The following is an 11524-nucleotide window of genomic DNA, read 5'->3' as shown; positions in this document are numbered from 1 at the left end:
TCTCATTAAAAATAATTCCAAGTTTTTATAAGATTTAAGACAGTAGTCTAGGAAGAAATGAAGTTTCTGTTCAAATATTTCAAATTTTGATCCCTCCGTAGCAAAAATAAACGGATTAAAAATGTCTTTTCAAGGGCAATTGCACTGCCTTGTAAATAAAGGTAGATTTCTAAAGTAACTGTTCATTAGAAGAAAATGAAAGAACCATTAAACTGGAAAATGTCTTACCTTGAGAAGTTGAGGAAATGAACATGTCGAGTGAATAAATAGGGTTGTTCGGCAGTACTTATATTTTTAATCAGTTCCATCTATTAAAAAAAGTAAAAATTAGCATATATAGGATCTAATTTACCAAGCCATATTAAGTTAAAGGTTATGTATCCCACTCTTTTTTTTTTTTTTTTTTTTGAGATGGAGTCTCGCTCTGTCACCCAGGCTGGAGTGCAGTAGCTCGATCTCGGTTCACTGCAAGCTCCGCCTCCCGGGTTCACGCCATTCTCCTGCCTCAGCCTCTCTGAGTAGCTGGGACTACAGGCGCCCGCCACCACGCCCGGCTAATTTTTTGTATTTTTTAGTAGAGACAGGGTTTCACCGTGGTCTCGAACTTCTGACCTCGTGATCCGCCCGCCTCGGCCTCCCAAAGTGCTGGGATTACAAGCGTGAGCCTCCGCGCCTGGCCAATATCCGACTCTTTTTATTCCCACTTATTCCCAGTGGACCAGCGGTATAAGTGCAACATTTATCAAGTTTTACATAAGGCTCCTTAGCGAATAAAACAGTGCTATCCAAATTGATAGTCCTGTGTCTCATTTAGTTGATTGTTACCATGAAAGCAACGTGACAGATTAAGTAATTTTGACTGGAGAAATCAGTGTGTTGCTGTACTAAAATGTAAATAAAAGAATGCCTTCTATCCCTTCCTTTAAAGTCAAATCAAGGAAGGAGGTTAGTCATTATCTTATTCTGTAAATGATATTATTGGGATATACAAAAATATTGAAACAGGTGCTGCAGAATTTAAAAATGGAATAAAATGAGGTACTACTTCATTCTTGTGCTCCTTGACCATGAAATTTATAAGGAAAATATTCTGTAGGAAACACATAAACCCCCAAATGTCTTGGTGTTTTGGTGGGTGGTCATCTGAATTATTTATTTGCAGTTATCAGCAAGGCAAAAAGTAGTTTATATTCGTATAAACTAACTTTTATGGCCTTCTGGAACATGTCATGATACAGAAAATGTTTAGTAAAATCTGTTAGAAATTCCAAGCATTCTTATGACTCCCTAACTTTCTGAACTTCTCTTTCCCTAGTTTTTCTGGTTGGCCCCATCAAAACGAACACACTGTGGAATTTTTTAAAAGCACATTGCAGCTTGCTACTTTGGATGAATGTCAGAAGTGCAACATTTCATGTTTTATGAAATAGTTCAAGTTGAAAAACTGGAAACAAAACCAGTCATTCACATGTGAACCGCAGTAGCAACAAGAACAATAAAATAAGAGTCTGGAACTCCAGGTTTGTCTCAAACATGACAGAAAGCCCAAGTCTGCCTTGTTCCTTCATGTCTAACACAGGGGCTGACACATATATAAGTGCTCGATAAATATTTGTTCAATGAATTAACTCCAACTAGTACACGCTTTATAGATTATTACACTAGGATCTCAGTGTATAAACCTTGTAATTAGATATTCAAGCTCACAACGATTGAAGGAATGAAATTGAATTTTAAAGGTAAATGACTCGCAGTTCATAAACCCTGTGCTTCTGTTAGTCAGTGGCAGGTATGAGTGAATAATGGTCTGTCTGTCCTCAAACCTCAGTATAAAAGGAAATTGAATCCTGCCTCTTTATCTACTGTTTATCCTCGACACACCACCTGCAAGTGCTTGTTTTTGGTAGTAAAACTTCCTGCGTGGTCACGTTGTTCATTTTGATTTTTGATGCATTTACTAATGGAATTACTGGTTTGGAGACATAACCATAGGTAATTTATCTCTGAGGGTGCCTGCTTGGAAAAATAACTCTTGACTGTGTGTATGTTTAATGTAAAGACCATTAACACTTTTATCTCTAGGTTATTTTATTCAGATATTTCTCTGCACACAGAAGAGTCATACAAGAAAGCCCCCTAGTACTGTACAAGAAAACTGGAAGAACAGGTCAGAAGGAAAAACGTTTCTTTCACATATTCCACATTAAATTATATTCTCTAAACACATGTCAATGTGTTAAATTTAATGGAAGAATAGTAGTAGTTAGATTTTGAGAACAGTGTCATAATAGTCATAAAGCTGTCTATTTCAGGAGGAAAAAAATGGATTAGCAGTGACAATGTATAACTCTTTCTAGACGTTATCTTTAAACATAGAATCAAGGTACTAATGCTCGTGTTTATTGTATTAGCACAGTGAAGGCAGAGGGTACATTTCAGCTCTCAGCCGGTTTGATCTTCACAAATTCTAAGACTTTCCTTGTTTTTGGCGACAAGCAGTCATATTCTGAACTCGTTGCTGCCATTGCTTGAGGTCTCTTGCCTGGTCCTCCCCCCATGGCCAGCAGCCTGCCTGTTCCTTCACCTAAATCTTATTTGCAGGAGAGGCATCAGGGGGTGACAATGGCACCACCTAAAATCACCAACGAGCCACCTCTCCTCTCCCTGGCTCATGCGGGACCACTCCTGGCCTTTAGTCTGATTCCATGGCATAAATTCACTCATCATTCATTGAGTACTTATTAGGCACTGGAGATAAAAACACGAATAAGATGGGTGGGAAGACACATGAAGAAGACAGTGGAATATGTCCTAATGGTGCCCTCAAACTCCACCATGGCCACAAACACACTTAATCCTCACCCATCTTTACTCTTTATCCAGCCTCATCCATCTCTGGACAGTCTGGTTCAGGTTACTGGTGCTCGGCATATTCCCACCTTTGATCCAGCTCTTTCCCGGACTCCCATAATTCAATGGTGTGTTGAGCCATGTGAATTCCACCTGTGCTATTTCCCTCAACTGGCTCTCAGGACCACACATGCTGTGGCCAGCCAAATGAGAGCCCTCCTTGTTCCTTCCTCACACTAAAGCCTGACCAAGTCCAAGCTCCAGTTTAAGTTCCCTCTTTCAGAATGTTCTTCTGCTACTCCTTGTGTGTCTAAATACTAACCACTCTTCACCTCTGGCTAAAATATCTACCCCTCCAAGTAGCCTTTCTGGATAGCCCTTTTCATTCAACATCCTTTGATCTCCCCTCTGTATCAGGCAATGTTGCTCAGGGTTATGGCTATAGAGATGATGGATTTGGTTCTTGCTGTTAGGAAGCTGTCAGAGTCTTGTGGGTGAGGTGGACTAAGAGGCAGGTACAATCATGTGATAACCACCATGAGGTAGATGGTAGATAAGTGAAGCACCTCTCTCTACATTCAGATGGAGAGGTAATGCTTCCCCAGGGAGGTTTCCCTCAGTAGTCTGGAAGGGCCTAGAGGAGTTAGCCAGGAAAGAAAGGGATTCATGGCATTGCAAATAATGAAGAGCAGATACAAAAGGCAGAACATAAAATGATACGGCACCAAGGAACTGCAGGAGTTCAGTGTGCCAGAGGTGTTCAGTGATCCGAGATGGGATCAGCAAAGTAGCAGGTGAGACTAGAGAATCAGGTAAGAGTCAGGTAATGGAGGGCACTGCAGATCACAGCAGGAATTCTGACATTTATTCTGTGGGTGATCAACAGCCAGAAAAAATTCTTTTTTCCAGATCTGAGGACAGGGTGGAGAATGTGAAGAAGGGTAAGGATTAGATACAGAAGCACAGCCAGGAAGACTGGGCAATAATCCCAACAGCAAATGACAATGGCATGAACTGAGGTCGTGGTTTTCAGTGTGGTCCCCAGACCTGCAGCATCAGCATCACCCGAGACTTGTTAGAAATGCAAATTCTCAGGATCCGCCCCAGGCCTTCTGAATTAGAAGGAACTCTGGGGGAAGGGGTGCCAGCAGTCTGTGTTTTGCCAAGCCTTCCAAGGGATGCTAAGGCACAAAAGTGTGAGAACCACTGAAATAAGTCAATGTAAGTAAGACAGAAGGGGAGGTTCCGGGAGGGTTAAGGAGGTGACTACCTGCCAATGGAAGGGAGGCAGGGCAAGTGGCCAAGAGAGCTTCCTTCCCAGATTCCTGGCTAGGACAACCAAATACGTGATGGTATCCATTCATGGAGATGGGCAATGCTGGGGGAGGAAAAGATTTGGCTGCAGATAAGGGGGGAAATGGGCTTGGTTTTGAACATGACCTTCCATAGCAGTGCATCTGAAAATTCTTCAGGACATGCACTTTCTACATTACATTGTAGTTGAGTTTGTGCACGAGTCTGAGCTGAAATGTAAATTCTGTGAGGGTTGGGGGCAGGCTTTATCCCCTAGAAAGCCTACTCAAGGTACTTGGACAGAACATACACCCCACAAATATTTATGAAATGAAGCTATCATCTTTAGAAATCCTTTTTGGAGTCAAGAAATGTATAGTTAACTGAAGACAGAATTATCTAGCACTCAGGCTATGAATTTAGCCTTTCTGAGACAGACCCATATGTTCATTATCCTGGTGTCACATGGGGCAAACAGTCTTACCATTATAACATCCAGGACATAACACCATCAAACAGACTCCCATTTTCTGAGTGCACCAAGGTGCTCTTTATACATATGGTGTCATTTAATCCTCACAAGAACCCCATGAATAAGTAATATTATTATTATTATTATTATTATTATTATTATTATTATTTTGAGACAAAGTCTCTGCTGCCCAGGCTGGAGTGCAGTGGACAAGAAACCCACGGATAAGTATTATTATTATTATTATTATTATTATTATTATTATTATTATTTTGAGACGAAGTCTCACTCTGCTGCCCAGGCTGGAGTGCAGTGGCGCAATCTTGGCTCACTGCAACCTCCCCCTCCCAGGTTCAAGCGATTCTCCTGCCCCAGCCTCCCCAGTAGCTGGGATTATAGGCGCCTGCCACCACGCCCAGCTAATTTTTGTATTTTTAGTAGAGACAGGGTTTCACCATGTTGGTCAGGCTGGTCTTGAACTCCTGACCTCAGGTGATCCACCCGCCTTGGCCTGCCAAAGTGCTAGGATTACAGGTGTGAGCCACCGTGCCCAGCCATGGATAAGTATTATTATCCCTACTGTAGAGGTTAAGAAACTGAGGCACAAAAGGCTGCATTGGTTGCTTAAAGCCTTATCCACACAAGAGGTAAAGCCAGGATTGAAATCCAAGTCTTTCCAAACCCTAAATCCTGTTTTTTATTTACTGGCTGCAATCTATTCACCATTCCCACCGAGATTTGATCTATACATAACCTTTCAAAATGGAAGGAACAGATTGGTTAGCACAAAAGTCTGGAGAACAAAGAAGGTTTATGGAATATAAATTTTCTTCTTTTCTTGTGATGTGCTGAAAATTTGAAAGAAAGTTCTAACAGATGGAAAAGCATTATGAAATAATACAAAAATAAAAGCTTTAAAATGCCAGAGATAATACTTTTTAAAAGTTCTAGGTGGGAAAACTGAGTATATATCCTAACAAGAACAGAAAATTAATTTTAAATACTAAAAAAGATAACTATGTAATGAAAGATACCTAAAAGAAAAAAATCAGATCACAGCATATCAGTAAGTAATTCCTAATCTTTTGCTTTCAACCTGACTGGCTGGGATGGTGCAGCAGAAAACCTTTACCTGCAGTTCTACCAACACAGTCAGACTTTGCTCCTGACTTCTTGGCAAATATTTGTCAGCAGAGGCGGTATCTAACCCTACGTGGTTCATAAGTGAATTCTGTGTCACTCATGAACACCTAGACGTCTTACAATTTTGCAAAGCATTTTACAGAAAGGACATGTTTTTAACATATCAAAGCAAAATAAGGAGTAGCTCACAGGAAGAGCCTTGGCCCTTGAACCTCAGAGCCTGGGAAGATGGCTGGAGGCTCCGGTGACCCTTCCCTCTTCCCACAGTATGGGGTAGCCCTTGTAAGCAGGAGGCAGGATGGCCTGCGGGAAGCAGTCAGCGCAACACACGCCTGCAATGAAGAAGAAGTCCACCAGGGGGAGCAATGACATGATCAAGGCAAAGAGCCTGGGTCTCAATTACAGAGAAAATCTCATGGCTGCAACTGGAAGGAAAGGAAAAACTTATTTTATTTTTGCAGGCCTTGCTGCTTCTTCCTTGTTTTTCTTTTTTTTTTTTCCACCAAGTTTCTATTAGCGGACTCAGTTTCTGTGTGTAGGGCTCCAAGACTAGACGTCTGCAGGGCTGTGTGAACTAATCCCTGTGGCATGGAAAGGGACCAGGCTCCTCTCTTTGGTTTGACTCTAAGGTCCAGTTGGAGCACTCTCATGCCTGTGGACACTGTCCCCACTCCTATAAAGTCGGGAAGTTCTGACGGTCATTCTAAGCGAGGCTTTTCCAAAACATGTCAAGCCAGAGAAAGGTTCCTGGGATAAAGAGAGAGGCTCATGAGGAGACAACACTTCATAAATCTTCAGGGACGCATGGAGTCTTCAGGGGTTTGAGAGAGTCTCAGGTGACAGCGGGATTTTCCTAGCGTAGTAAAGGATTCACTTCAATAAAAGGAAAACTTTCTAATAATCAGAGGCTTTTGTGAAATCATTCCTTGCTAGGGCTGTGCGTGAGGACCTCTTCGGGAGTTTTTCCCCTGCAAAATACAAATAACTTTGGCTCTGCCTTTACAAGTTTAGCTCTGTATTTTGCAGTGGGACCTGAATACACATATTGTGAGAACGCTCCCCAGCAGATTTTGGTGCCTATCGTGATTAAGAACAATTTTTTATTAACCCATGTATGCCTAGTGTTCCATTATTGGAACGCTAAGCATGTGGGAGTTATTTACATCCTACTGCTCAAGGTCATTGCCAAGGTCTGATTGCAAAAATTTAAAAAAATTGCTACCTCAGGCATAAATGGAATAGCTTCCCACTGTCTACAGAAGAAAGTTCCAACTCCGAAGCCCAGCATTTAAAGTTCGGGATTTGACCCCCGTTTGCTTTCAAGTCTTATTCTCCCACATTATTCTTAATTTACACTATATTTTAATCAGATTCCTGTACACACTTATTCCTCCTTCTAACATGGGGCAATAATGCTTTCCTAACAATGTTGCCTCGAGGATTAGAAATAGGGTGCACTAATATCTAGTGGGCTGTCTGGGGTTTAATACGCACATTAATACTAGGTTCTCAATAAATATTCATCAAAGTGAATGAACAAAAAACAGAGAAATCTGCTGTAAAAATGAATGAGTGCACCTTTTTTTTTTTTTTTTTTTTTTTTTTTTTGGGATGGAGTCTCGCTCTGTCGCCCAGGCTAGAGTGCAGTGGCGCAATCTCGGCTCACTGCAAGCTCCACCTCCCAGGTTCAGGCCATTATCCTGCCTCAGCCTCCCAAGTAGTTGGGACTACAGGCACCCGCCACCACGCCCGGCTAATTTTTTGTATTTTGTTTAGTAGAGACAGGGTTTCACCATGTTAGCCAGGATGGTCTTGATCTCCTGACCTCGTGATCCGCCCGCCTCAGCCTCCCAAAGTGCTGAGATTACAGGTATGAGCCACCGCACCCGGCCTTTTTTTTTTTTTTTTTTTGAGATGGAGTCTTGCTCTGTCGCCCAGGCTGGAGTGCAGTCGTGCAACTTCGGCTCACTGCAACCTCTGCCTCCTGGGTTCAAGTGATTCTCTTCCCTCAGCCTCCTGAGTAGCTGGGATTACAGGCGTGCACCACCACGCCCATCTAATTTTTGTGTTTTTAGTAGAGACAGGGTTTCACCATGTTGGCCAGGCTGGTCTCGAACTCCTGACCTCAGGTGATCCACCGCCTCGGCCTCCCAGAGTGCTGGGATTACAGGCGTGAGCCACCATGCCTGGCCCACCTTCTTGATTAAACAGAGGCCCGATTAACCATGCCTTAGGGATCCCTGTAGCCTGTAGACTTTTACAAACTTAACATGATTTTTTTAGGTGAGTTGGGTTTTTTCCCCCTAAGTCTCACTGCTTTCTAGCCACCATTCAGACTTGAAACTTGCAGGGGGCAAGAGCAACAGGAGAGGGAAATTTAAAATATTGTAAGGAAATAGTGTTTTGATAAGGAAGCTAAAGCTATCTAGGGCACATGGGCATAGGATCTCTCTCTCCTCCACCCTTTATATAACTCTTCAAGGTTTTAATAATTTGAATAGCTGTTGGAGGGTCAGAACAGATGTTACGTTTATAGTGATATAGTAGCCTTTACTGTTACAACTGGTGGGAGGATGTGGACTTGCCTAGTATTTCACAGACAATGAACTGGAGTTCTGCAGAATGCAAATGAGTCACAAACACTCATTAAGACTCCCCTGAACAATGAAGACTGCAAAAACGCTAGGTGAAATCCAGTCAAACAGTTTGTTTGCAGTTTTGTTTTTAATTTTCGAAGTCTTCAAAATGCGAATAATCATCGTGAATTGATTCATTCGGGACAAGGCACGCAACATTTACCAAATTTATTGAACCATAATATTTTTTTTCTTTCAATGTCTTAGAGGACTAGGATTCTCAGGAACATACCTAGGGCAATGCTGGTATGATGATTTCGACAGAGCTTCTTAACCCTGGCTGCATCATAAAATCTCTTGTGACACTTCATTAAAGAAAAAGTTTTCTGGGCTCTACCCCAGAATCTCCAGGAGAAGGGCCACTGCAACTCTAGGTTTTAAAAGGCTCTGCTGAGATTCTGCTATCCAGCTAGAGGAGATAAACACTGCATGATGAGAATGGCTTTTGGATTAAGGAAGGCCTAGGTTCAAGGCCAAGAGCCACTGATAGTCATTACAATGTATTTGGAAAGTTACAATCTGATTGTCTTAGGTGTCTCACCCATAAAACAGGGAATCATACCCACTCAGTAGTATATTTTTAGGTCCAAAAAGTTCAATGAAACAATGAAGAAAAACAATGCAGGTTGTAGGTGCTGTATCCAACACGTAATCCTCAGTTTCAACAGAAATAGAAATAGTAAAATTATGTGCCTTCTCAATATGCTGGTAACTTTTGCTTTTCTTTAAAGAGAATGAAAGTAATTATGGATTCTCATAGTTGTAATACACCTGCAGCACTCTGACCTTTCTTGTATTTAGAGCAATGCTCAGAAAGATGGTGTCACCTCTTAACCAAAGATGGTTATGTGTTTTTTTGGCAATCACATGCCATGTCTTCTGGGGAAAAAAATTCCCTATTTTTCAAAGCTGTATATAATCTCCATTTTTCAAGAGATAATTTAAGCCAGCTTAAGACCTGAAATCTAGTTTTAGGGCATAAATGCAATGATGTCATCACAGGTTTGCATGATGAGCTGTGCGAAAGTCCAACACTTGCCCAGCAGCCATTGCCCATGCTCTGCTGTTGAGGTGATATTTCCCAAAATATGAACTTCAAAGGTATTTCTATTTTTATAAGGACAGATGTAGTGGGATTTTTATAGGCATTCTAACATTTGGTGTCTTCACACTCCCTTTCCTTTTTAATAATCCCTTCAGTGTCTTGTTCCATTTAATAGATTTAAAAAATTTAGCTCTGTGTGTGTGTGTGTGTGTGTGTGTGTGTGTGTGTGTGTATGATCACAACTACCCTCCAGAGAGCAATGCATGTGTGAATTTGACTGTGGCCCAGAGAGGTGCCTTTTTGTATGAATGAAATGGAATAGATAATCTGGTCTTAGAAATGGATAATATTCCAAAGTTCATTTGTAAGTCAGTAGTTTGAAACTTGGAGCACATTTTCTCATAAAAGAAATTCTCTACACGGTGGATAAAGTCCCAGGCCAGCCCACAAGAGCCTGTTTAAGTCATACTGCACCTGAAGTGGAATTGTTATTAACTCTAGAGGACAATGATTCTATGGGAACAAATTTTCAGAATTCTACCATTTATAGGTGAGAACAACTGACTACAATTTCCACTAGTCTTCTAAACCATTTCCCCCTTCATTCCTCTAATAAATTACCAAAAAAGGAGCTATTCATACCACAAATTATTTCTTGAATATATATTAAAATAATATTTTTTCTGTTTATGCACGTTGAAACTTTAATAAAAGCAATACAAGGACAAAAAAAGTGTTTCTCTAAATGTTGTTGAACTTCAAACTGGGTTTCTTGTCCTTTTATTTCCTGGCTTCTCTCTCTGCATGCCAGAGCCAGATGGCTGCGGAGAGGTAATAGTTACTGTTATTATGTTTGTTTTCACATTAAAATTATATATTTGTTTTTTCTACCTTATCTTTACCTTTGCCATGCGTTTTTAAAACTGCCTTACAATTTAATAGAAATCTGGAATAATGAAGTTATGAAATATATTCTAGGTCACTTTGACCACAGGAATCAGAAATGTTTCAACTACACAATACACAGATTATGCTAGAAGTTGTACAAATATATCACAGAATCACAGGGCTGGAAAGAATCTTAAAAGACTGTCTAGTCTCTTCTCTGGCTTCCAGACAAGCCAACCATTCCAAACAGATGAGAGCTAGCCTATATTTTAGAAGAGAAGGAAGACTTTGTCTTTAACCCTTTCTGGATCTAACAATCTATACATGGTTAGTAAATTGCTGTTAATTTTTATTCTAAATTATTCCATTCATAGTTACAAGTGTATTTTACTTTTTCATGTTTGCTCCTCATAGGAAACAAACTAGGTTGATCTCTATAAAATCCCAAGGCACATTTAAATACTGTACTTTGTGTTCTTTCTTCTAACAATTCCTGAACATCCCAATGTCTAATCCTTGAGTTACTTTTGTCCTGCTCTCTGCAGGTAGTTTGTTGTCTCTCCTGCAGTGGGAACTAAAATCTAGCAACTGTGTTTTATGAGGCATCTGGGAACTGAGTATGATGATATTATATTTAAGTGTAATCCCATAGATAAGCAGGCCATAAGAGTTAGATTCAAAAGAACACCAAATTTAATAATTATAATAAAATTGCAATAATGTATTTATTTATAATTCCTTTCTTTCAGGCAGTTAAAAAGGCATCACCAGCCTAATCACATTAGCTCTTCAATCAAGTAAGGTAATCAAAGAGAACCTGCCCCTACTGTATGTACAATCTTATACATAAAATGCAATATCCTTAAATGCCACCAAAGATCATTCTTTTCTTTGGAGACCCTAATATGGAACCTACAAGGTATAACCTTAAAATATTTTTTGCTGATTGGTAATGATTCTTTAACTATTCGTGCTGGTAATGGCTATTTAAACTTGATACTGAGTGATTTTTTAATGGAAGTTTGCAAAGGAGTGGGCAATTTGATCTCTGTATTATAAAAGACACAAAACATAGTGGCTTTAGAACAAGTATGGTTGGCTATGTTACTGTCTTAAAACAGTTCTACTTTCCCCCAAGATAAAATGGAAATACGCAATTGGTAAATTAAGAATGAGATTCCCTCTGTTTGTGAGGTT

The 11524-nt window shown here is 40.4% G+C and overlaps 1 protein-coding gene across 7 annotated transcripts in view; it reads right to left on the bottom strand.

The window, feature by feature from the left end:
* Nucleotides 1–11524, bottom strand: part of UST (uronyl 2-sulfotransferase) — a 329961-nt gene that overhangs the window by 122811 nt on the left and 195626 nt on the right. For all 7 annotated transcript variants that reach the window (XR_001743088.3, XR_007059195.1, NM_005715.3 and 4 more), the window contains exon 4: nucleotides 229–308. Coding sequence is in view for 5 of the 7 variants with exons in the window: in NM_005715.3 (NP_005706.1) it covers nucleotides 229–308 (80 nt within the window). In the remaining 2 variants the exon portion in view is untranslated. The remainder of the gene's footprint in view (nucleotides 1–228; nucleotides 309–11524) is intronic.

Source organism: Homo sapiens, chromosome 6 (assembly GCF_000001405.40).
Source record: "Homo sapiens chromosome 6, GRCh38.p14 Primary Assembly".
NCBI lineage: Eukaryota > Metazoa > Chordata > Mammalia > Primates > Hominidae > Homo > Homo sapiens.
This window is presented reverse-complemented; position numbering and strand designations above follow the sequence as displayed.